General features: G+C 44.7%; 2 protein-coding genes and 1 long non-coding RNA gene across 11 annotated transcripts; 2 read left to right on the top strand and 1 right to left on the bottom strand.

Annotated features, from left to right (window-relative positions):
- Nucleotides 1–1,596: 1,596 nt before the first annotated feature.
- RNASE11-AS1 (RNASE11 and RNASE12 antisense RNA 1) lies at nt 1,597–20,594 on the bottom strand. Its single transcript, NR_122043.1, has 5 exons — nt 20,500–20,594; nt 18,090–18,381; nt 11,999–12,142; nt 6,036–6,155; nt 1,597–2,976 (listed from the first exon to the last, which is right to left on the bottom strand). It is a non-coding gene; the product is annotated as an RNASE11 and RNASE12 antisense RNA 1 (long non-coding RNA).
- On the top strand, nt 17,442–18,745 carry RNASE12 (ribonuclease A family member 12 (inactive)). Its single transcript, NM_001024822.4, has 2 exons — nt 17,442–17,559; nt 18,057–18,745. The coding sequence occupies exon 2, from the start codon at nt 18,095–18,097 to the stop codon at nt 18,536–18,538; it is 444 nt and encodes a 147-aa protein (NP_001019993.1). The 5' UTR covers nt 17,442–17,559; nt 18,057–18,094; the 3' UTR covers nt 18,539–18,745.
- Nucleotides 18,561–25,926, top strand: RNASE11 (ribonuclease A family member 11 (inactive)). Of its 9 annotated transcripts, NM_001394194.1 has the most exons (4): nt 20,817–20,849; nt 21,193–21,255; nt 23,688–23,791; nt 24,322–25,926. In NM_001394194.1, exon 4 carries the CDS (start codon nt 24,344–24,346, stop codon nt 24,941–24,943), a length of 600 nt encoding a protein of 199 aa, NP_001381123.1. In that variant the 5' UTR covers nt 20,817–20,849; nt 21,193–21,255; nt 23,688–23,791; nt 24,322–24,343; the 3' UTR covers nt 24,944–25,926. The 9 variants fall into 9 exon arrangements, with proteins under 9 accessions (NP_660293.1, NP_001381118.1, NP_001381123.1 ...); NM_145250.5 differs by lacking the exons at nt 20,817–20,849; nt 23,688–23,791 and adding an exon at nt 18,561–18,658; NM_001394189.1 differs by lacking the exons at nt 20,817–20,849; nt 23,688–23,791 and adding an exon at nt 20,771–20,803.
- Nucleotides 25,927–26,324: the final 398 nt, after the last annotated feature.

The raw sequence follows: 26,324 nt of genomic DNA, 5'->3' as shown, positions 1-26,324 counted from the left end.
GGAATGAACTTCTCAACAGGGATTTGCAATCGTATCTGCATATTAGAGTCACCTGTGAAGCTTTTTGACCATCCACTGCTGGGTCCAACCCCAGAACAATTACACTGCAATCTCTGAGGATGGGACCCTAGGAATGATTTTCTTTCTTTCTTTCCCTTTTCTTTTCTTTTCTTTTCTTTTCTTTTCTTTTCTTTTCTTTTCTTTTCTTTTCTTCTCTTTTCTTTCTTTCTTTCTCTTTCTTTCTTTCTCTCTCTCTTTCTCTCTTTCTCTTTCTTTGATGGAGTTTCACTCTTGTTGCCCAGGCTGGAGTGCAGTGGTGCAATCTGGGCTCACTGCAACCTCCACCTCCTGGGTTCAAGAGATTCTCTTGTCTCAGCCTCCCAAGTAGTAGGGATTATAGGCCTGCACCACCACACCTGGCTAATATTTTGTATTTTTAGTAAAGACAGGGTTTCACCATTCTGGCCAGGCTGGTCTCGAACTCCTGACCTCAGGTGATCCACCTGCCTTGGTCTCCCAAAGTGCTGGGATTACAGTTGAGAGTCACCATGCCCAGCCTAGGAGTGGTTATTTTTCAGAAAAAAAGCTCCCAAGATGTCACTGGAATTGCCCTGGGAGCTAATATGCTACTAAGTTCCTCTACAAGACACAGCTGGAGACCATGCAGGGCGGGGTAACTCCGTAAGAACCCTGTGTCCTACTCTGCATTCCTCAGAATCACCCCCTTCTAGCTGGTACTTGATCTTCCCTAGTTAAGTTTTCTTTTGGGTACAACCGTGTGCCACATTATTTTGCCTCTGCAATCCTCCTTACTTTCCCAAGCCACAGAAATGGACTGTGCTATGGGATGGTTGCCTACTGAGGTTTGTGCAAACATAACATGTGTTTCCCTCAAAGAGGGAAAAGACAGCCTAGTGGTTCACCCTGCTTATTTGAGAAGGGTATGTGGCTGCGTGTGTTGCGGGGAGGGAGGCTTTCACTTTCTACGCAACGGCTAGATCCTCAGAACACCCTCTTCATCTCTATTACCCTGCTACCAGCGGGGTATTCAGTGTTTACATCCTATAGTTCAGCCACATGTGTCCTGACTCATCTGATGAACAAGAACTAGAAATCACAGGTATTTTTCACTTCATTCCTAGCTACACTGTTGAGTATTTAACTTCTGATACTTCTTCAGATATTTAGAAGAACTATGAAACAAATAATCTTGGAATTATCCTTTATTCCTCTCTCTTACAACTCATGTTCAATCCCTTAACAAATGATGTTGGCTCTATCATCAGAATATTTCCAGATTTCAAACATTTCTTACCACCTCCACCACCACTGCTGTAGTCGAAGCCATCACCATTTCTCATCTGCCCTATTGCAGCAGCCCTTTAGCAGGTCTTTCTGTTTTGTCCGTGTGCCCTTAAATCTATTTTCCACAAAGTAGAATGATCCTGTCAAATCCTAAGAGCTTGTCATTTCTCTGCTTACAACCCTCTGTGCATCTCTGTCATGCTCAGGGTTAGGTTCCAGCCCCAGCTGAGGGCTGAGGGGAGTAGGTGGACGTGGGGCAGGGAGCTGGAAGAACCCTCAAGAGACAGCAGGTAAATGAGACATGGCTTTATTCAGCAGCCCCTTCACAGGGTCAGTGTTACATTTATACACTACACAAACGATAGTGACTGAGAGCCAGGTGGGGAGCTTCTTTATGTTGTGCCTACACGGCTATGATTATATAAGATATGGGACTGTGCACTTGTGCCCCAATCCCACTGAGTCATCTAGGCTGTTTACCTTGGCCTATGCCTGCTTGCCTGCACACAGCCATGTTCCTTACACTCCACCCTCTAGGCCAGGGAATCCTCTTGGTGGGGACCCATGCACATGTGGCAGCACCCTGGACCCATAGGCCACAGCAACAACACAGACAGCAACAACCTACCACTAATATTCCTGCTATGCTACCTATGATTATGAGAGCCCATTGTAGGCCAGATCCCAAAGACGCCCACCATCTCTGCAGGGGGTCATCAGTAAGGTGCTCAATCACCTTAATCTCCTATGACACCCCTTGTGAAGCTGCCATTATATTCCAGTGGTTGTCAGGGATAAATGTACAACCTTGTGTCCCTACAAGGGCACAGGTGCCACCTTGGGCAGCTGCGACTATGTCTAAGGCCATCTGGTTTTGCAGCACCACCTTCCTGATCTGATCAACTTCATCAGTTAACAAAAGGAGGGCAACTCGGGACCGAGCTGTGTGGTCTGCAAAGGCTGCAACTTGCTTTTCTATAGTAATGACGCCTGCTCCAGGGATAGTCATTGCTAAGGGATAGAACCACTAGAGGGCCTGCTGCACTGGGAAAAAGCAGGAACACAGTGGCTCCCAGTTATGTGGCGACTAGGCAATGTGGGAAGCCCAGTGGCAGGCACATAGGGCCAACCCCAGGTACAATGTCCAGTCCAGTTGGCTGGGAGATATGGCCATCCTGTGTCCCCACAGACCCATAAACTCCCAGGGGGCACAAAGTCCATGGGGGCCTGGCCTTCGTAAGGCCGCTTGTTCCACTGCACCCTTGGTGTGGTGACACATGTTATGTTTGCACAAACCTCAGTAGGCAACCATCCCACAGTGACTTTACCCCAGTGCTGCTCTATACATTGTGATACCTGCAATGGGGGCACCACGTGTTCTCCCATTAGCCAGCTCCATCCATCATGGACACTATGAGTCAGCCAAGGGCCAGGTTTGCCATGGGTTTTGTGATGCCTCCTATCCAAAGCCCGCCCTGTGGCATCCCACCCATTGTCCGTGGGACCCCAAGCTTCTAGCCATGTCCAGTTCTTAACAGAAGCAGGATACGCGTTCCAGGGCAAACTCTCCGCAGCTGCTGCTGGAAGGTGGAGCAGATCCAACAGTTGGAGACATTGGTCACCTCAGCGTAGGTGTGGGCCCAGTCCACAATGCTGTTGGAGCATGTCAACCTACAGCCAGAACAACAAAGCAGGCACAGGTATTAACGGGGAAATCACGTCCCTCAGGCAAAATACAGGCTAACTTTTCCTTTTTTTTCTTTTTTTTTTTTTGAGACAGAGTCTCACTCTGTTGCTGAGCCTGGAGTGCACTGGCACGAGCCTGGCTCACTGCAACCTCTGACTCCTGGGTTCAAGCAATTCTCCTTCCTCAGCCTCCCGCGTAGCTGGGATTACAGACATGTGCCACCACGCCTGGCTAATTTTTTGTATTTTTAGTAGAGATGGAGTGTCACCATGTTGTTCAAGCTGGTCTCGAACTCCTAACCTCAGGTGATCCACACGCCTCAGCCTCCCAAAGTGCTGGGATTACAGGCGTGAGCTACCGTGCCCAGCCAATACAGGCTAACTTTTCATCTCTGGATAACAATGCAGCTGCCAAGGCTCCTGCCCTGGGTGATGATACCACACCTTCTCAGCTCCCCATGGTCCTTTTCAGTCTTGTACCCAAGCCAAAGTCACAGGGGAGCTCAAAATATATGTACAGACAGTACATATATAGGAGGGTCCCTTACCTGGCCATTCCCCTACAAACGGTCAATCGTGGAGGCCACACATTAAATACCCAAGGAACCACATGTAAGTCATACTGCAGATGCTCCCTCCAGGGGGCTACAATAGCTAACCATCTGCAATGCGGGGCTTGGAGGGTCCATGGCCAACATCAGGTTTTCTCTTCCCCTGCCTTCAGGGGCGTTGGGGCAGGCAACAATAGATTACCATTTGTCCCCATACCTGGTCAGAGGAGGTCATCCTTGGTGTGTATCTGTAGCTGGATGGGGATGGTGGCCCACGGTAACAGTGTCTCCACCAGGGCTGGGCCACCTTTCCGTGGTCGCTCATTCAAAATTTTAACACAAAATTTTAAGTGATGGTAGGGCAGATGCCCTCAGCCAGATGGCAAATGTGTTGCACTGGCCCCTCATCAATTACTTGTAAGTAATTGGTCCAACCTGGACATGGATGTCCGTGCTGCCCTAGTCCGGGGAGTTGTTACCCATGAATGCACCCACCCTGCTATTGGGTAAGTCGTTCCACACAGCGACTGCAGCCCATCCTGTCAAGCTCTCACAGGCCTGAACAGCAGCATATACAGCAGCTAAATGCTTCTCTATCAGTGAATACCGGAGCTCAGCTCCCTTCCACAGCTGGGACCAAAAACCTGTTGGTGTTCTAAAGGGCTCCATGCGCTGCCATAGGCCCCAGCTGAAACCATTTGTGGTCACGTGTACACCAGGTTCAAATGGGCGCCCCTGATCAATTACTTGTAAGTAATTGGTCCAACCTGGAACTCCAGCCCCGCAAAGATTGGGGAGCAACATGCAACTGTAACCCGTTCTTCAGGAGTCTGTTATATTGCTCAATCATGCCAGCGGCTTGTGGGTTATAAGAAACATGAAACCCCCATTGTATGTCCATCTGCTGTGCCCACTGTTGTCCCTGCTGTCCAGTGAAATGTGTTCTATCACTTTTAACAGCCAGGGGACGGCCATATAAAGGCACATAAGTGTTGCAGGGCTCGAATGGTGTGTTGCTGGTCAGCCGCCCTGCAAGGGTAGGCAAACAACAAGCCAGTGGCTGTGTCTATAGCCATATGTGTAGCCCTGTGATTTTGGCAGTGGCCCAGTGGAATCCGTTTCCCATCTGGTTAAGGGCATCTGGCTTACCGTCACTTGCTGTGTTATACTGGGCAGCTGCCTCCATTTGGGGTATGCCTGAGCACATGCTGGCACTTCCAGCAGGACTCTAAAATGTCCTGTGAAGGCAAAGACAGACTCCAGTGCCTACTGACCTGTTGCATCAGTTTACTCCCTGTATGTCCCAATTTCCTATGTAGCCACAAAGCTACATCTTGTGTAGGTGCTGACTCTCACCATCAGACCCTGGCTAAGGCATCTGCCTCATCATTACTGGAGGTGGCCAAAGACACATGACCTGACACACGATAGACAGTTACATCTTTCTGATGACCTGTTTCCCAGAGGTCTTGCCATGTGGTTTGGCCCCAAATGGGCCGATGGCCTGCAAGCCAATTCTGTAACTTCCAGGTAGTCAGCCTCAGAGTTAAACCTCGACAGACTGCTCAGCTATTGGTGCAAAGTACTATAGGTGACTCCTTCTTAGTTATCACCGTCCACACCACTCTAAGTTCAGCCCATTGGCTGCTTTGTCCGCACCCGTTATCAAACCATATGGTATCGGTGCTAGGCTGGACTGCTACAGCAGCCCAGGCAGCAGTAGCACCCCGGCTGGACCCATCTGCATACCATGCCCCATCAGGAATGGGAAGGCGCTCTTCTTTAAATGGTGATGGCTCAAGGCGTGGGGTGCCTCAGGTCCCATGGCCTTATCTTGCGTTAGGACTGCAGGCCCTAAGACCTCTTGTAACTCTGTTGCTAATAGACTTGTACTCAGCATACTCTGCTGTTCTAAGTAGGCACCCCACTTTGCTAATGTGGATGCCTGTGCTGCCCCAGTCTGGGGGGTTGTTACCCATGAATGCACCCACCCTGCTATTGGGTTAGTCATCTGCACAGCGACTGCAACCCTTCCTGTCAAGCTCTCACAGGCCTGAACAGCAGCATATACAGCAGCTAAATGCTTCTCTATCAGTGAATACCGGAGCTCAGCTCCCTTCCACAGCTGGAACCAAAAACCTATTGGCGTTCTAAAGTGCTCCGTGTGCTGCTGTAGGCCCCAGCTGAAACCATCTGTGGTTACAAGTACATCAACTTCAAATGGGTGCCCCTGATCAATTACTTGTAAGTCTGGTGCTTGCTGAATGGCCTGCTTGGCAGCCAGAAAGCCTGTTTCAGCCTCATCATCCCAATCCCACGTAGCTCCCTTTTTTGTTCACTGGTACAACAGTTTTATCATTTGAGTCAAATGGGGCACGAATACCCGCCAATACCCCACGAGGCCCACAACGGTCTGCAGTTGCCTCACCGTGGTGGGTCAGGGGCATGCCTGGATTTCGTCAATGATGGCCTCTGGTATGGCATTTGTCTTACCTGATCAAACAACTCCCAAGCATTTGGCAGACAATCCAGGCCCTTGGACCTTGGATGCATTGACATACCAACCGCACGCTGCCAACTCTTGCCACAAGAGGGGCATTGCTGCTTCTTAATCTGCAAGAGAATCAGAGGTTAACATGACACCATCAATGTAATGAAACAGGCAAACCCCTTTTGGACATTTCCAGGCATCTAAGTCCATGGCAACAAGATCATGACGAATGGTGGGGCTATGCACATAGCCCTGTGGCAGCACAGTAAACGTCCATTGCCACCCTTCCCATGTGAAGACAAATTATTTTTGGCTCTCTGGAGCAATGTCGATGGAGAAGAGTGCATTAGCTAAGTCCACTACAAAGTGGTACTGTCCCAGTTCCATTGTCAGGTGGTCCCTCAAATCCATGGTACAGCTGCATGCAGAGGGGGTGTCACCTTATTCAGCTCCTGGTAATCCACTCTCATCCTCCAAGTCCCATCAGGCTTTCTGACTGGACATCCCAGGGAACTGTAGGGGATATGGATGTCAGGCACTATTTGCACCTCCTCTAACTTCTTAATCGTCTTGGTTATCTCTGTATGCCCCTCTGACAAACGGTATTGATGAATGGAGGTAACCTGTCGGGGTTGTGGCAGAACTTGGGGCTGGTGATATGTATATGCCCACGCAGTACCGGCTTTACTACACGAACCTGGAGTCTGAATTCTCTGGCCGTGGTGTGTAAGTCCAGACCATGCAAAATGTCCACCCCCAGAATATATTCAGGTATAGGAGAAACATACATAGCGTACAGGCTGGAAGCCAAGCGGCCAATTCCAAGATGCAGAGACACAGGTTTCACTTTCACTGACTGGCCCGCATAACCATCAATGAATGCAGCTTTTCCTGGAAACTTATCCGGGTTCCCATAAACAAGACTGCAGTCTGCACCAGTATATACCAGTGCTAGGACCTGCTGTACACTGGTGGGGGACTAGTGGATTCCCAGTTCCACATGAGGCCTCCAGTCGTCCGGCGCCCCCCACCAAGCCAAGCACCTCGGCCAGTTCCCTAATCAAACAGGAAGGGCCCAGTCTCTTCACCAGTCTGCAAATCATCCTTGAGCTGCCGTGTCCCCGCGGGGCTGGGTTGAGCAACAGTATTTTGCCCCCTCGGGTATTTTCCGGAATTGCTGCTGGGGGTACAATTGCCTCCACAGAGCCAACAGCATTCCATTGGGTTTCCTCTCAGTTTCCTCCCGAGCAACCCCGGCTGCAAGTAAATCCATCCACATCTGCATGCGGGTCACCCGCTGGGGTCCCTTTTTATTTCGTGGGGTGGTTACCTGTGAAGGGGGCACCTTCCCCTTCTTTATGGCGCGGATTCCCCAATCCCGCTGATGGCCTTCTGCCTCCTCAAGGGCTGCCATAGCAGTAGTCACTTCATGTATGTGGCACCCCACATATGGAGTAAGAACAGCAGCTAGAGAGCCAAAAGCACTCAGAGGCTGCCAGTCAGCACAAGATCCCTCACGTGGGAGATAAAATGTTCATCATCTGGCCTCTAGGGATTCAGATCCAACATAGCCTGCCGCATGCCCATCTCCAGGAGTACCTGTACCAAATCAGCTATGATTGCCATTGACTCATAATTTCTGGTATCTCTCCAGCATCCTTCCTAACAGTCCATATGGCTGCCATCAGCCACTCAATTAACATGTGATCACCTTGCCCTTGTGCCAACCATCGGCACAGCTGCAGCCACTGATGAAGGGAGGGGTGAGTTATGATAGAAGCCAGCTTCTCCATCTCGGAGGCAGAGCAAGAAACGCTGTCAGCCCCCTCATCCCCAAAATGGGGTAGCCAGGCAGGGGGGGCTCCCCTGGGTGCTCCTTGCATTGCTTACCTAACTCCCAAAACTCAGTGGAAAGAGAAGCACTATAGGAGGTGTATTCCACCACTGCGGGGGGCCTCTGGGCTCTCCCCTAGGGTCCCATCAGCTGCTCATGTTCTACCTTCTGATGGATCACAGGACAAGCCCACAGCAGAGGAGCCTCCTCCTCAGGATCAGACCAAGCGCGAGTGTCCGGCCTGGAGGATGGGCTCAAGGTCATGCCAACAGTTATTTCCAGCTCCTGCTCCAGGCTGTTTATCTGAGCCTGTAAGCACCCTGCTTGCACCTGGAGGTCCTTTACACCCAGGTTTTGCTCCAAGCTGTGCATTTGGGCCCCCAGAGACCCAACTTAGGCCTGAAGGTCCTTTAGCTGTGCCATGTCCCGCAGGGACTGAGCGTATACTTCACGTAGTGCAGTCAGAAATGCCCATCCAACTCTGCTGGCGAAGGTGCACCCCTTCTTGGTGGTGTGAGCTTCCAGTTGCTTCAGTGCCTTCTTCACACTTGTGGGAGACCTGTCCACTGCCTCCCATGTTTCCACTGGGGCGCATCCAAGCAGCGCCTCTGCCACCGGGTACCACAGCTCATGCTGCAGCCACATAGTCTGGTTCTCTCACTGTGGAGTGTTCCTTACTCCACTCACCTTCCCCATTCTGCCTGGTGAACCTATGCATCCTTCCTTTCCTTAGACAAGCCTTCCCAGAAAACCCAGAACAAGTGAAGTAGTCTGTTTTGCTTGCATAAAACCCTGTAATTTCCCTTGCGGTCCTTATCACTAACATAATAAATTTATTATATTTCTTAGCTTTAAAAAATTGTCTGACTGTTTCTTGAGGGCAGAGACAACATCTGTCTGCTTTCCTGTAGAAATCTCTGTTCTAAGCACAGTGCCTGGAATACAATAAATGTTCAACAACTGTTTGCTCAATAAATATTGAGTAAATGTAATGCTGTATTTTCATTGCCTAAAAGAGCTATAGTTTGCTCTTTATAATATCAGAGAGCTTTTCTTTATAAAGCTCATTCATCTTTTTGACGGTTACTTTAGTGGAACCAACAACAACCACAACAACAAACCTTAAGTTGGGCTGGGCCTGGTGGCTCACGCCTGTAATCCCAGCACTTTTGGGAGGCCGAGAGAGGCGGATCACTTGAGGTCAGGAGTTTGAGACTAGCCTGGCCAACATGGTGAAACCTTGTCTCTACTGCAAATACAAAAATTAGCCAGGCACGGTGGTGCATGCTTGAAATCCCAGCTACTTGGGAGGCTGAGGCAGGAAGATCGCTTAATCTGAGGAGACAGAGGTTGCAGTGAGCTGAGATCGCACCACTGCACTCCAGCCTGGGCAATAAAGCAAGACTCCATCTCAAAACAACAACAAACAACAGCAACAAACGAACAAAAACCTTGAGTTGGAAGAAAGCCCAAAGAGTTGAGGGAACTAAAAAAGCGGAGTGCATGGCAGGAATATGAAGATGGAGAGAGAGTGGTCTGAGGAGAGGCCATCTATGCAAGGCCTGGTAGGCAGAGGTGAGGACTGTGGTCATTATCTTAAGACAAATGAAAAGCCATTGACACATTTTAGATGAAGAAAGTGGATATCACAGGCACATAACTGGATTTGTGTTTTAAAAAGATCACTGTGGTGCAGTAGGGTTGACAAGGTGTGAAATGAAGGATTTGTGCAGTACCCTCATAAGCCCCTAGGCACTGTTCCAAACCCCCTCCTACAACCTCACCTGTCCCCTTGTCCAGGTGGAGTAGACAGACTGGGGCCTGTACGTGTCCAGAACAAGCTGTTGGAAACGTGGCTGAGCCCCTGGGAGCCACGTTTCAACTTCCTAATACACAAGCATAGAGCCCTGCTTCAGAGAATGGTATAGTTTGAGGTGCTTTTTCACCTCTAAAACTGTGAGTTGTTTTCACCTCCTCCATCCCACCAATTCTGCCAACTCCCGGCCACTTTAAAAGGAGGCCAGTGAGACCCATGGAATGAAGCTCAGGGTCACAGAACTAGTTAGTGGCAGGGCCAGTGTCAAGCCAGGAATCCAGCTTTCACAACTCTCGGCTCACTGCTCATTCTGCTCTAGTTAGGTGGTTATGAAAAGGGAGTTTCTGTGTTTTTTTTGTTCTTTGTTTTTTGTTTTTTTCAAGACGGAGTCTTGCTCTGTTGCCCAGGCTGGAGTGCAATAGCGCAATCTCGGCTCATTGCAACCTCCATCTCCCGGGTTCAAGTGATTCTCCTGCCTCAGCCTCCCGAGTAGCTGGGACTACAGGCGCGCGGCACCACATCTGGCTAATTTTTTGTATTTTTAGTAGAGGCGGGGTTCTCCGTGGGAGTTTCTGTTTTTACCACATCTGGGTTCTTTAGGGCCTTCGTGATTATTTGGGATCAGGGGACATTTATATTATTTCAAGCCTGGGAGTGCTATGAAAGATATGAATGTCCGGGAGGTGCCATAGGGGAAGGCTGGCTAATGGTCCTTCCTCAAGGAGAATTCAAAGGGAACTTTTGAGGGCTGAGCCTGGGGACACACAGGAGAAGCCAGATAAGCTATGATCAAAGCATTCTCAGAAGTGGAAAACTGAAGGCACCGGCCTACCCAGAAGCTGTTAGAAAGACACACTTAGGTAACTTTCCCTTAGCCTGGTCTTCCTTGGGCTATTGCCTGGTGGCAATCATTTCAGAGACGCGAAGAAAGTTATAAAGCAAGAAATGACTTGTTTTTCCCCAAGGGAGAACAGGACCTCCTATGTGCATAGCACAGGGCTATAACTGCAGGGCTGAGACTGATGGCTTCGTCAGAACATGTCCTGCCCACGATCAGGAACAGCTTGTTCTGGACACACACAGGCCCCAGTCTATCTACTCCACCTGGACAAGGGGACAGGTGAGGTGGTAGGAGGGGGTTTGGAAGAGTGCCCAGGGGCTTATGAGGGTACCGCACAATCCTTCATTTCACACCTTGTCAAGAAAACAGCTCTGCAATTGCCAAAAGTAGACAATGAACCCTCCAGAGCAGGGGTGTCTCGTGCCTTTTTTCCCCAGTAGTAAGTGTTCCCGATTTAGGAAGGTGTCCCTTCAACCGAATGCCAATTCCTAGGCAAGTTCACAGAACTGCTCCACCACACTCATGAGTCAGCTCCCACTTCAGGGTCTGGTACCCAGGCTCCAGCTTCCCGGTTGCTACTGCTCCCCTGCACTCCAGGCTGGGAGGCAGAGACCACCTCCTATTCCCTCAGGGTGGGGGAAAATAAAACTTGTGGCCAGAGCATTGTCATCTTAAGAGAACAGCCATGGAGTCCATTTTAATTTAGCTCAGAACTTTAGTTTGTGAAAGCAGAGCGAGATCTTACAAATAATCAAATTCTTCCTTTATTCTTTCTTATTACCCCCATTTTAGAGTGGAAGCAATGCAGACCCTGAGCAGTGACATGACTTCACAGCTACTTACTGGCAGAAGAGGGGAAAGATCTGACATCTTTCACCCATTCATCCACTCCACAAACATTTTTTGATCTCTTCAGAAATACCAGGCACTGTGCTAGAGAGAACAAGAACATTCCTCTTGCTCTCCAGAGGCTCACAGCATGCAAGGAGAAGGCCAGATGAATCGCCTGTAGCACCACTTAGGGAGTTATGTGCTGGAACCACACAGAAAAGCTTCTTGTAGACACTCAAGGAAGAGAGGGGGGTGGTTAGTTTAAGAAGGGGTTCCTGGAGGGGTTGGTAAAGTCCCATGGCCTTTGCATTGCTCTTAGAAATATTTCTTGACATGTGAACTTGCATTGGGTGACTAAGAGTGTGTGTGAACCAGCCTAGATTTCCTCATGAGCAAGGCCTACTTCCACTGTTAGAAAGAAACTCAGGATATCACCTGACTCTTTTCATCACCAGAGTAGGAGGTGAAAATGGTTCGGGGGGCTCCTTAGTGAAAATACACAGAAAAGGAAAGAAATCGGTACCCAGTTCAGAGGCACTTTCAACCTTTTTGTCTTAAGAGAGGTGCTCAAAGTGCTCAAAGGTAGCTTCTGGGTGATAGAGAAGTAGGAAAAGTCTAGAAAATTGTGGAGTTAGGGGAGCACCTTTTGCTTTAAATGACCTTCCTGCATCCAAGGTCTTCCCAGCTCCTTCACTGCCAGTCACACTCCTGGGCCATGCTGCCATTTTGTAGATTTCAAAATTATTCGAAGAGTAGGTTTTAAATGTTCTCGCTATTAAAAAAGGATCTGCACTATTAAAAAAGTAATGGATATGTTAATTTGCTTGATATAATCATCCCACAGTGTACTATATATATCAAAACTTCACATTGAACCTCATAAATATATAAAATTATTATTTGTCAATTAAAAATAAAAATCTAAATTAAAAAAAAGTCTGACTAGATAACCTGGTGGGTATCCACTCCATAATATAGTTGAATTAGTTCTTAATATTTTCTTAAAGTGTTTTATGGTTTTAGAAAAGTATATATGAATAATTCTGAGTTTCTGAATGATAGTGTGAACAGAATCTGAAGTGCTCACCTTGAACTGTTAAGCCAAGAAGAAATCACTTTCTAACTTCTTTAAGTCACTGGATTACTGATGATGTCTTTGTTTTTTTGTTTTGTTTTTGTTCTTGTTTTTTTGAGATGGAGCCCCATTCTGTTGCCCAGGCTGGAGTGCAGTGGCACGATCTCGGCTCACTCCAACCTCCGCCTCCTGGGTTCAAGTGATTCTCCTGCCTTGGCCTCCGGAGTTGCTGGGATTACAGGCACACGCCACCATGCCTGGCTAATTTTTGTATTTTTAGTAGAGACAGGGTTTCACTGTGTTAGCCAGGCTGGTCTCCAACTCCTGACCTCAGGTGATCCGCCCGCCTCCACCTCCCAAAGTGCTGGGATTACAGGCATAAGCCACTGCGCCTGGCCTGATGATGTCTTTGTTACAGCAGCTTATCCTTACCCTGTGCACTCTTCCCAAAAGCTTCCAGCTGTGCATCCTTTCCTTCTCACTGGCCCCACATGAATGGGATTACCTTGATTGACTCAGGGCCCAGCAGATTCACACCCAGATCCCCAGCAGGTTCCCTTGAAGCTCATGGTTATGTGGAGAACTGGTACATTCTCAAACAATATTAGTGCTTGGTTAGAAAGGCAGAAAGAGAAAACCTGTAATGGCTAGGACTACTCTGATCATCCTATTTAAATTTGCACAACACCAGCTGGGTGCAGTGGCTCACGCCTGAAATCCCAGCACTTTGGGAGGCCAAGATGGGTGACTTGCTTGAGTCCAAGAGTTACAGACCAGCGTGGGCAACATAGCAAAACCCCATCTCTACAAAACTACAAAAATTAGCCAGGCATAGTTGTGCATACCTGTGATCCCGGCTAGTCGGGAGGCTGAAGCATGAGAATCGCTTGAGCCTGGGAGGCTGAGGTTGCAGTGAGCCGCGATTGTGCCACTGCACTCCAGCCTGGGCAACAGAGTGAGACTCTGTCTCAAAAAAAAAAAAAAAAAAAAAAAAAAAAGTGCACAGCACTTATTATCCTCTAAAACACTAAAGTATTGATTATGCTTATTTTTCATTGTCTATCTCCTTCCACCAGATGTAAATTCCATGAGAGTAGGAATTTAATTTTTAAAAAATACTTATTTGCAAATATACACAAAAGTAGAAAGAATAGAATAATAGATCCTATTACACCTCTCCTCCTAAAAGCAACAATTATAAAAAATTTGCCAGAGATTTTTTTTCTCTCTTCCCGTTTTCCTCCTCCCTTTTTCTTTCTTCGTTTCTTTTTGCTTTATTTCTTGGAAGAAAATACTTGACATCATGATATTTCACACTTAGAACTATTGAATATTATCTCCAAAAAATAAAGACATTTTCTACATAATTATAATTATTATATCTTATAAAAGTAAAATTATGTTCTTAACATAATCTAATGCCCAGTCCATATGCACATTCAAGTAAGATTCAAAATTTGAATATTCTTTTAATCTGTAACAGTTTATCCCTCTTTGTTTTTGTGTGATAGACTTTGTGAAGAAACTGGTAGAATGTCACATAATCTGGATCTGTCTTATTGCTTCCTTGTAGTATTATATAATTTGCACCTCTTTTCCCTAAATTTCCTATAATCTGGAAGCTAAATCTCAGGCATAATAAACTAATCTGCTCAATTATTTGGCAATACTACTGGGTAAACAGTGCTGTGCACGTGCTACAGTACCTTATTAGGAGGCACATCATAACTCACCTTCTACTTCTGTTTGGGTGGTGGCAGCTAGATCTTCCATTGCAAAGTTCCCCATAGCCTCTCTTTTTTTTTGTTTGTTTGGTTTTTTTGTTGTTGTTGTTTGTTTTTTGTTTTGTTTTGTTTTTTGAGACGGAGTCTCGCTCTGTCGCCCAGGCTGGAGTGCAGTGGTGCGATCTCGGCTCACTGCAAGCTCCGCCTCCCGGGTTCACGCCATTCTCCTGCCTCAGCCTCCCGAGCAGCTGGGACTACAGGCACCCGCCACCACGCCCAGCTAATTTTTTGTATTTTTAATAGAGATGAGGTTTCACCATGTTAACCAGCATGGTCTCGATCTCATGACCTCATGATCCGCCCTCCTCGGCCTCCCAAAGTGCTGGGATTACAGGCGTGAGCCACCGTGCCCGGCCTTATATAGCCTCTCATTTAATAATTTTACCACCCAGCAAATGCTTTTTGCCTGGCTTAATGATTTCATTAATGATTATAAAATTGCGATTTTCTAATTTTATTATTCTTTTCATATTTATTAGTTGTCATTGTTCTCTAAAGAAGAGCTTTTCCACAGCACATGGAAGCGATTTGGTCGCCCAGGAATATACTTCCTGAAGGAACGGCAGAATAAATGTACTAGTCTTATATTTTAATTACCAATTTTCATACTGAGGTACTGATTCAGAGTCAGTAGTGGGGAGAGGGACATTTGCCTTTTCACTGGTGTGTCCCAAGGGCCTAGAAGAGTGCCTGGCACAGGTAGTGTTTAATAAATATATGTTGAATTAAATAATATGTGAATGATAAAAGGCCCTTACAATAGGTGACAAAAATCCTTTATATAGTAGGTGTTTGAAAAAAGTCACGTCTTACTACAACAAAGGGTCAAGATTCTGGATCTGAACTCTGTATTCTAGGTGTTTTTACCAGAGGTGAATGAGAATGTTTGTCCCTTAGTTAATGCCGTTGGCCACTACAGGTGCCACAGAATAAAGAAGGAATAAGAACAATATGCTGTCCAGATTCCCCTGGAAATCTGGGGAGGAAAAGGGAACTTTATAATGGCATGAGTTGAAATTCTCCCCAAGGAAAATTAATTCTAAGTCAAAAGACTCAGAATTAGTTTTAATTTTTTTTTTTTTTTTTGGTGGGGGATGGAATCTCACTCTGTCACCCAGGCTGGAGTGCAGTGGCACAATCTCTGCTCACTGCAGTCTCTACTTCCTGGGTTCAGGTGATCCTCCCACCTCAGCCTCCCAAGTAGCTGGGACTACAGGCGTGCACCACCACACCCCACTAATTTTTGTGTTTTTATAGAGAAGGGGTTTCACCATGTTGCCCAGGCTGGTCTCAAACTCCTGCCCTTAATTGATCTGCCGGCCTCTGCCTCCCAAAGTACTGGGATTACAGGCATTAGCTACTGCGCCCATTCTGAATTAGTTTTAATTTGATGCAGAAGAAATACTGTGGCATTTTGTTAGATTCTACACCCAGGAGTGGGATTAAAAGGTCTCAGGTCAAACCCTTAATCTTACCAAACGTTTCCAGATTCCTTTCTAGTATTGCCACATCTATTTTTATGCCCAGCAATGTTTTTACCAGCAGTTGATATGATCTGTTTTTCCAATTCTTGATAATCATTTTTGATAATCTGATGGTTATAAACTATTTCTTTGTTATTTCAAGCTTTCATTTCTTTAATTACTAATGAAGTGGAGCATTGCTCATTACCCATTTTGGCTTTATCTTCTGAAATTGGCTTTTCCTTGACTATTTTTTTTTTCCCCTGGGGTTTCCTGTCTTTTTAGGGCTGACATGAAGGAGTTTCTTATATGTAGATGCTAATCTACATATAAATCTAAAACCACAAATGTGGTTTTAGGCATTACAAATATTTTCTTCCAGGCTGCCACACTAGTTAACATTTGGACTCAGTCTCAACTCCTTTTGCAGTGTGATACCCTAGGGATAGGTTTAGTTGCCTCCTTTGGGGAAAATCTTTGTAACGGGGATTACTTCTCTGCCTGTACACTTAGTAAATTATCTGTACTTCAGCTACTTGGAAGTTCTGGCAGGAAATAATGAACATGTTACAGTACATAGATATAATTCTCTGTATACATTGGAAATGTTTCTGCAAGATGTACAAAATCAAATTTTGTTAATTGAAAATCATGTCAAAAATTAAGCATGCACTTATATCTTTGTGGCATTGGGTAACACATATCCAAAACAGGATAGTCTGAATTCTGAAAGGGCACCCAGAATGGACATTTCTGGAAGTAAATATATTCTCCTGGTTGCTCATTTTCACAATTTGAAATTTTGCTTTCGTTTTTGTATAGAAAGAAAAGCATTCTTTGAAGGCTTCTCCAGGATTCTGTTTTTCCTAGATAATTTTTTACGCTGCGATTATTTTCTTCCTGCCAATTAGAAAGACACAGATATGCACAGAGGAGATTTTGTACCTGTCGCTCCAAAAGAGAAATGACTTCAGGGCATGAAGTAGTAAAACTAAGTCCATTTGCCCGTTCCTATATCAACTAACTGGGAGATGATAGCAACAAAAATAATTCTCTGGTCTCAATACTTTGAACCACTGTGTTTTAGCTAAGCCTTTATCCACTAATCTCCCATGTGGGTTTCCCATGTATACCATGGTTCAGTGGTTCCCCTTATAACTTTTGCTATATATTAGAATCACGTGGGGATCCTTTAAGAATCCCCAACCCAGATCGCACACAATATCAGTTAAAGCAGAATGTATCAAGGTGGAAGCCAATACTTTTTTAAATCTCCCGTTGATTCCAACGTTCAGCAGTTTGGGAACTGTCTCCATACTCCTCAGAAGCCCAGGGCTTTATCAAGATTAACGTTATTACAAGGGAATTGTTTTTGTCCTGTGCTGGACGCCGGGTGGAAATGAAACTCGCTAAAACTGGAATTCGAGTGTTTGGCACTGAAAGGATGGGACTCTTGCTTTCCTTCTCACTTCCCATCTCCACCTTAACCTTTTCTACAACTCATTTATTTGTCAATGAAATGAAAAATTTCATGTATTTGTCATAAGGACTGATTGAAAATTTAGAAAGGAGACAGTACTGTGGCTGGCACACATTGGCCTTCACTAAATGTTCTGAAAAGTCCTCACTTGTTTAATGAGGACACATTCAGGACCTGCCTTACCCGACTGTCCTGCTGGAGGTAACTTCTCTTCCTCCCCAGCGGTGCCCAAGCACACCCTGTGCGGGTCCCTCCTTTCTGCTCTTTCTACTTTGGCCCTCCCCACATTCAACAACAGGCTCTCTATCAGTTATTGTCAGGGAACAGCAAGACACAAGCGATTTTGTCAAATTCATGATCAAAAGGCTATGTTACCTGTGACAGTGACCAGAAAAATGACAGGTGAGAGGAGCTAGCACAGAGCCAAGCAGGATTGACAGAGGGAGGGACTTGGAAGGAATTGGGAAGAATAGATGAGTAGAAGGTACTAAAATCATGTGCAATTGGGTGGATTTAAGGTTGAGAAAATTACGGGAAAGAAGGTTATTCAGCAATATGAATAACCTTGACCACTTTCTATATGTCTAGCTCTGTGTTGAGCACTTCGAAGGATTTGAGAAATAGGAGATGTGGTATCTGCTGTCAAAGAACTTGTAGAACAAAACAAACACAACAGGAATAATTTAGAGAACAGCTCAGTACCAAACTCTGAGAGCTGGCATGTTCAGAAAAGGCTTTCTTGGGGAACTATGCCTCCAGCTGGATCTTGCAAGGTCAGTGTGATTTTAATTAGTGGAGAGAAGGAAATAAAATATTCCAAGGATGGGGGAGCAGCCAGGGGTTGGAGCAGGAGGAATCTGACTGTCCTTTGCTACTTTCTATCTTCCCTTACTCAACAGCAGTCAAAGCCAAAGATGCGAAGTCACTCTTACCTCTGATGATAATAATGGTGATAATTTTCTTGGTGCTTCTGTTCTGGGAAAATGAGGTGAATGATGAAGCAGTGATGTCAACTTTAGAACACTTGCATGTGGACTACCCTCAGAATGACGTTCCCGTTCCTGCAAGGTACTGCAACCACATGATCATACAAAGAGTTATCAGGGAACCTGACCACACTTGTAAAAAGGAGCATGTCTTCATCCATGAGAGGCCTCGAAAAATCAATGGTATTTGCATTTCTCCCAAGAAGGTTGCTTGCCAAAACCTTTCGGCCATTTTCTGCTTTCAGAGTGAGACAAAGTTCAAAATGACAGTCTGTCAGCTCATTGAAGGCACAAGATACCCTGCCTGCAGGTACCACTATTCCCCCACAGAGGGGTTTGTTCTTGTCACTTGTGATGACTTGAGGCCAGATAGTTTCCTTGGCTATGTTAAATAACTCAAGATCAGCTCCCGAGTCTGAGATCTCTTCTCTCAATGGCATTGGAGCTGGCTGTGCCTGAGGCAGACCTGGACCGTGGACATGGGGCAATGCCTTGAGCGGAAGGGGAAGCCACTGGTAATTAATTTATCCTTCCTGTATTGCTGGGTTGGGATTGTTTTATTCTGCTTCAATAAAATAATCTTTACTGAATTAAACCATAAATTCTACATGTGTTTCCATTTTTTGTCCCTTATCTCTAGGTCCTTTGATGAGAAACAGGACTGAGATTAAGATAAAGGGAATGAGCCACTCACTTGAGGTGCAAAACTTAAGAGGGCACCAGAAGACCAAAAACCTAGTAACCTAGATGAATATATTTGATTTCAGTGTTTCCTTTTTCTTTTTTTGAGACGGAGTTTTGCTCTTGTTATCCAGGCTGGGGTGCAATGGCACGATCTCGGCTCACTGCAACCTCTGCTTCCCGGGTTCAAGTGATTCTCCTTCCTCAGCCTCCCAAGTAGCTGGGATTACAGGCATGTGCCACCGCGCCCGGCTGATTTTTGTATTTTTAGTAGAGATGAGGTTTCTCCATGTTGGTCAGGCTGGTCTCAAACTCCTGACCTCAGGTGATCTGCCCACCTCAGCCTCTCAAAGTGCTGGGATAACAGGCGTGAGCCACTGTACCTGGCCTTGATTTCAGTATTTTAAAACAATCAAAATTAATGCAAAAATCTTGGATGCTCGCCGGGCGCGGTGGCTCACGCCTGTAATCCCACCACTTTGGGAGGCCGAGGCGGGTGGATCACGAGGCCAGGAGATCGAGACCATCCTGGCTAACACGGTGAAACCCTGTCTCTACTAAAAATACAAAAAATTAGCCGGGCGTGGTGGCGGGCGCCTATAGTCCCAGCTACTCCGGAGGCTGAGGCAAGAGAATGGCGTGAACCCAGGAGGCGGAGTTGCAGTGAGCCGAGATCGCGCCACTGCACTCCAGCCGGGGCGGCAGAGTGAGACTCCGTCTCAAAAAAAAAAAAAAAGAAATCTTGGATGCTCAAAATATCTATCACAAAATTTTGAAGATCCAATCTGACAAGGCTAGGATCAGGGTAAGATGAGTTATGTGAGAAACGTAGTGCAGGGCCAGATCCTGGTATTTAAAATTTTAACATTTGTTCATCAGGGATTATTTTGCATTAAATTTATTTTCTGGCCAGGCGTGGTGGCTCATGCCTGTAATCCCAGCACTTTGGGAGGCTGAGGCAGGTGGAACACTTGAGGTCAGGAGTTTGAGATCAGCCTGGCCAACATGGTGAAACCTCCTCTCCACTAAAAATACAAAAGTTAGTTGGGTGTGGTGGTGCACGCCTGTAATCCCAGCTGCTTGGGAAGCTGACACAGGAGGAGCGCTTGAACCTGGGAGGTGGAGGTTGCAGTGAGCCGAGATCATGCCATTGCACTCCAGCCTGGGCAACAGAGCAAGACTCTGTCTCAAAAATAAATAAATAAATATTTTCTAAAATTGTTGCATTAAAATATTATTTATCTTGATTATTGAGTTTTGTGGCACTCTCTTAAATTTTGGTCTTAGAGTGAGTGTCTCATTAACCTCAGCCTAATCCTAGCTCTGCTTCTAGCTGTAGAAGCAACAGAGGTCACCTCTTAGGGTCTTTTTTAAAGATAGCATATACAACTCAGGCAGCATCTGTTCCTGTTCAGCAGCTCCCTTTGTGTCTTGAAATAAAGAAAGGAGCCTGACTGGTCTGAAACCATTTCCCTTAAAGACTTTAGAGAGACACAGATAAGGATTTCCCAGGGAGGGATTGAGACTTTCAGAGCTCAGTGACCTCCTCTTTGTGTCTCCAGAAGGAACAGAGAGGACTTTGAGCCGGACTACTAACTCTTTTCTCTTTTTAGTTCTTACAATTGGACTTACTGCTTAGTTTCCCCACATTCAGCTATGGGCATAGTATCCTTACAGCTAGAAGGAGAAGGACGAGAAAGAGAGATTTCTAATTCTGGGGATTTCATGAAGTCCTCTTCTTCTCTATTCATTAGTTTCCTTGTCTGTAAAGTGAGGATCTTGAATTAGATAATCTTTCAAGTTCTTTCCAAGTCTATTAGTCTATAATTCTATTTCTTAAGTAGTACAGAAAATGGCTATATTATAGCCATTGTTGGAGGGGAGAATTTGTATTGTGAGGTAGTAAGAAATAAGGGGCAATTGGCAAATAAAGGCCAGATTATGTTGTCACTAATTCTGAGCTATGGCATTTCAATCCTGTATGTGAGAGCTAGAGACTCATACAGTGACCTAGAGCAGGCATGGGTGGGTCACAGGCTTTGGAGAGCACTCTCTGTCCTGATCTTTTCAGTTGAGAGACTTCAGCTGTTCATTGCTCATTTGGACTTAGTTCAAGGTCATGTCAAAGAAGAAGGTGCACTTACGCTAGTTGTTAGCTCTGTCTTTTGTAACCATCAAGTTCCATGCGATTGATCAGATTTAGGAGGGGGCGTTGGGGGATAATCGTAAGTGAAGGACAGTTTGCAACCTTGTGAGTAGGCAACGCTTACTCATCTCATGGCTTCTTCCATCTTAGGTGGCCGTTTTTCAGCTGAGTTTCATTTTCTAGTTCTCTGTGGTAATTCTGTTGTCATTGTTGTCTCCATAGAATTTTGGGTGTCACCAGGTAAACAGAGCCCTCAGCATCTGAATAGAAACTGAACAGGAACAGGTAGGTGGTCCCTAGCACATGATTTGTTGGGCCTTGGTAGCATCATTTTTTGGGCAAAACTTTGAAGTGGATGAAATGCATCCTTTAGGTTCCTACATCTATTTTCTGAATTCTGATTCCTTTTTCTATCCCTCTCCCTAGGTTTTGTTGTCTTTTCTTTCCTTTTCAGTGCTTTTTCTCCCCTTCTTCACCGAAGCTCCTCCTTTCTAATTAAAAATATCTTGCAGATAAAAGTATAACTGAGATGAACCAATAGGATGTATCCTCAGAGTAATTTCATTCAATAGGGATCAACACCAAATTCAAATGAATTGTGACATTTTAGACATTCGTAGTTTGGGTGTGTGTGTATCTATATCTATCTATCTGTATCTAAATATGTATATACATATATATTATACAGATATATAGGATCAGAGTCTCATTCTGTTGCCCAGGATGGAGTGCAGTTGTGTGATCACAGCTCACTGCAGTCTCAGACTTTTGGGCTCAAGAAATCCTCTCCTCTCAGCCTCCCGAGTGGCTGGGACTATAGGCATATGCCACCACAACTGGCTTTTTGTTGTTGTTGTTGTTGTAGAGATGGATTCTCACTATGTTGCCTAGGCTGGTCTTGAACTTCTGGCCTCAAGTGATCCTCCCGCATTGGCCTCCCAAAGCAATGAGACCACAGGCATGAGTGACTGTGCCCAGCCAGGTATATTTTTTTAAAGGGCACCTCTTAGCAGTTTCAAATAAAACCTAGGCAGCTGTGAATGCTGCCCACTTGAAATATATGTCTCAGAAAGACTGGAAATTTCTGCCCTGCTCTTCTTCCTGTTTATCTTTCTCCTCCTGGTCTTTCTGTTTCCCTATTGTCACCTCACTACTGATGTCAATGGTATAGGATATAGAAGTTTAGGAAACAAAATAAATTCCCTATAAATCCCTCATCCTTTCTGCCTTCAAAATGTATCAGGTCTTTGGTCAAGGCATCCTTGGACACACACCTGGACACATATACTTAATTCTTAATAATCTATCAATAATCCATCAACCCAATTAAGGCTTATGTATTCTTGGTGCTAGGTTTTTCCTCTAGTTTCTCACACAGACATTTTAAATTCAAATATAATTTTTTAAAAGTTCATACATAATAACATCAAATGAGTGGTATAAGAAGGGAATGATAAGAAGTTCAGAGAAGTTGGAAATGGATTTAGTAGACTTAAGCGGTGATGAAACATGTAAAATAAAGAATGAGATCTGAACTGGGCTTTGAAGGATTTCAAGAGGCAGGAAAGAATAGCCATTCAAGAAAGAAGCTAAGTGGGAGAGATGGCATAGGGTATATTAAAAAAAGAGTCACACTGATTGACTAGGGCAGGTTTGTGTAGCAAAATAATGGGAGATAAATCCCGATAGGCAGATTGAGATGAGAGCAAGTGGAGCATTGGCTCCTGGGCTCAGGGGATCAGACTTCCTACTGTGAGCAAAGAGGAATGTTTCAAAAATTCTGAGTGTTGTTGCAAGTTATGTTTTTAGAAAAGTAGTGTATAGAAGAAATTGGAGGGTCAGGAAGGGGTGATTAGGAGGGAAGTAAGGGTAATAATGTAGGAGATCAATGTAGAAGGGATGGTGGCTTTAGAGGTGGAACATAAAAAAGAGGAAAATAGAATCATTCTAAAGAGAGAGAAATAATTATTAACTTAAATAACCTTTCTTTAGGGATTTTCCAGGATTGACCTCAAGTAAAGGATTTTATATACTAGTAAGGTCATGTTATGTTGTTAACAAATAGTGTTGAGAAATTAGTGTGTGTGCAGTAATTACACACACTAAATAAAACTCAGGCAGCTATGAATGCTGCCCACTTGAATTACATGTTTCAGAAAGACTGAGAATTTCTGCTCTGCTCTTCTTCCTGTTTCCTTAACATCTACTCTTTAGCACTATAGTAAACTCTTGATTATTTATACTAACTGGAGGAGTGAAGAATGCAAAATTGTGGATAATTCCATTAAAATTTATAACTGATCCTGGAGTGCAGATTCTTTATTAATCTACAGTTCATTATTTGATTCTATATGAATAAAAGTATAAATAATCAGAAACTGTGTTTCAGGCTCGAGGAATTTTTAGCCTAACAAGAGGGAGAAAAGATTAACATGAATTGACTAACTGGAAAAATGAAAAAGATCATATAAAATGAAGTGCAACTTAATCTGTGCTGTAGGGTTTCAGAAAACAAAAAAGTCATGCTGGGTTTTGGTATAAATAGACAGAAAATATTTCACAGAATAAGAAGCAATGGTACTGCCCAGGTCATTGGGATTCCGACTGCCAAATGGGCACTTTGTTCAGTTCTCCCTGAGCTTCCTTGGTTCCACGTGGTCTCCTGAGTCAATCTCATACAACCCTATCTACCCCTCTGTTGCCCCTCCTTCCCTCAGTTAGACACAACAGCAGAAACTCCCAGGAAACAAACACGATTTCACTTTTAGCTCTGCAACAAAGTGGAATCTTCCTCTACAGGATCAACTTGCCGAAGGAACTGGTAAAGACAGAAATCTTATGAATGAGAATGGGTGGCAAAAGAAATGAGAGATGGGGAAATGGCAATGTGTGTTTTATTTTGTTTTCGAGTGGCTACCATGTGCCAGGTTCTATATGAGGCTATAGGAGATACAGTAATGGTGAGGGAATGTGTTGAGTGAGAATCGTGACCCACCATGGAGATTATACACCCCACCAATGAGATTATAGACCAAGGGAAAAGGATAAGAAACAAATACTTGGTTGTAGATCTTTAAACATGTCACCTTACGTAATTCTCACAATTTTTTTCAGATGGGGAAACTGGAGTTAAATAAGGTTGAATAAATTATAAGCAGAAAAGCAGGAATTTGAACATGAGTCTTCAGACTCCACAGCTGATTGTCTTTCTATTATATCATAGTTCCATTCACAGATATAAAAATTTTAACCTACATGTAGGGGTCCCTACCAGGAATAACTGTCAGGAGGAAGAAAGAACTACCTCTTTAATCTTCTTATTTTATCTTTCATTTATTGTCTTTACTGCAGAAGAGATTACACTACATCTGAGATGGAGACCTTTCCTCTGCTGCTGCTCAGCCTGGGCCTGGTTCTTGCAGAAGCATCAGAAAGCACAATGAAGATAATTAAAGAAGAATTTACAGACGAAGAGATGCAATATGACATGGCAAAAAGTGGCCAAGAAAAACAGACCATTGAGATATTAATGAACCCGATCCTGTTAGTTAAAAATACCAGCCTCAGCATGTCCAAGGATGATATGTCTTCCACATTACTGACATTCAGAAGTTTACATTATAATGACCCCAAGGGAAACAGTTCGGGTAATGACAAAGAGTGTTGCAATGACATGACAGTCTGGAGAAAAGTTTCAGAAGCAAACGGATCGTGCAAGTGGAGCAATAACTTCATCCGCAGCTCCACAGAAGTGATGCGCAGGGTCCACAGGGCCCCCAGCTGCAAGTTTGTACAGAATCCTGGCATAAGCTGCTGTGAGAGCCTAGAACTGGAAAATACAGTGTGCCAGTTCACTACAGGCAAACAATTCCCCAGGTGCCAATACCATAGTGTTACCTCATTAGAGAAGATATTGACAGTGCTGACAGGTCATTCTCTGATGAGCTGGTTAGTTTGTGGCTCTAAGTTGTAAATCCCACAGAGCTTTAGGACTAGGGTCTTACTAAAGAAGGACCTCTTCTTGTTCATTCTTGTTTAAACCTTTCCTTAATATCTACTCTTTAGCACTATAGTGAACTCCTGATTATTTATTCTAACTGGAGGAGTGAAAAATCCAAAATTGTGGATAATTCAATTAAAAGTTATGACTGATACTGGCGTGCAGATTCTTCTCTCTCTATCTCTCTCTCTGTGTGGGGGGAGGGTGGGGAGGGTGTAAAACAAACTGAATTTCATCCTAGCTCAGCTATAAAGCCAAGAAACAGAATCCACCTAACTAGGCAGAATTAAGGAAACAAGGACTAAAGCCAATATGGACAATGAAAAGCTAATTGTACTGCCAATGATACTATTCAGAAAAATAGTGAATGAGTGTGACATATATTATTATCACTACTCTCTTCAAAGGGTATGTGCTCACACTTGTGTGAATTGATGTATGCACATAACAAAGAGTCTGCCTGTCCTTCAGGAAATGCCAGAGGAAAAAGATTCTTTGGCTGAGCTGATGCTCTCAGTGTCAATAGCTCCAGCCCTATGCAATCTCCATTCTTCCACCCCCATCTCTATTTCACAGGTTGCTGTAAAGAGAAGAAAATTCTTATTGTAATCTTTATTCAAGCCAAGTCTTGATACCCTGGGGCTGTGGGAGAGGAATGGCAAGCCATGGAAGAATAGAGGAGCCAGAAAGATGGGAATAGAAAGTCTGTGCTAAGTACCAGGCAGGACTGGTCTTCAACCTTGATGTCTTATGATACTGTAGTTAATTTTGTTCACTACCAGCTATTTATTTGCAAACGTTCGTGGTTCAACATTCTGCTTAAAGTATGGACAGTTATCTTCTTCATCGATGTGTGGCCATATGTTTCTATTCCTCTCCTTAAATCCTCCCTCCATCCTGAGACCACTCTTTCTTAATGTTCTAATTTTAACTAAATGCATGTAAATGTATGTAAATTATGTCATGGTAACATCTTTCTTGTACATAATTCTCTATATGTCATTTTCCCGAAGCTTTATCATATTTGGTGCAGAATTCTCAATATACTGGAACTGTAAAACATTTACAATCAACCAATTTGCAGCATTACAGCAACATTTTTGTACGTTTGAGCTGGCTTTCCCTTGTCAGTGTAGGCGTTGTTTAAATAATCAATGTGGGTTTGGCCAAACAGGTATGTAATTAGGACTCAGTTTGCACTCGGCAGCCAAAGGACAGAGCAATAAAGCAAAATGCTTGGGTCCCAAAGGTCTCTTCTCTGTAGGAGGAGGACTCAGGACCCAGAAAGGAAGATGTGCTTACCGAGTTCCATCCCAGGGATAGCTCCACATAGTGAGTCTGATGCTACCACCCA

This window comes from Homo sapiens, chromosome 14 (genome assembly GCF_000001405.40).
Source record: "Homo sapiens chromosome 14, GRCh38.p14 Primary Assembly".
Classification (NCBI taxonomy): Eukaryota; Metazoa; Chordata; class Mammalia; order Primates; family Hominidae; genus Homo; species Homo sapiens.
This window is presented reverse-complemented; position numbering and strand designations above follow the sequence as displayed.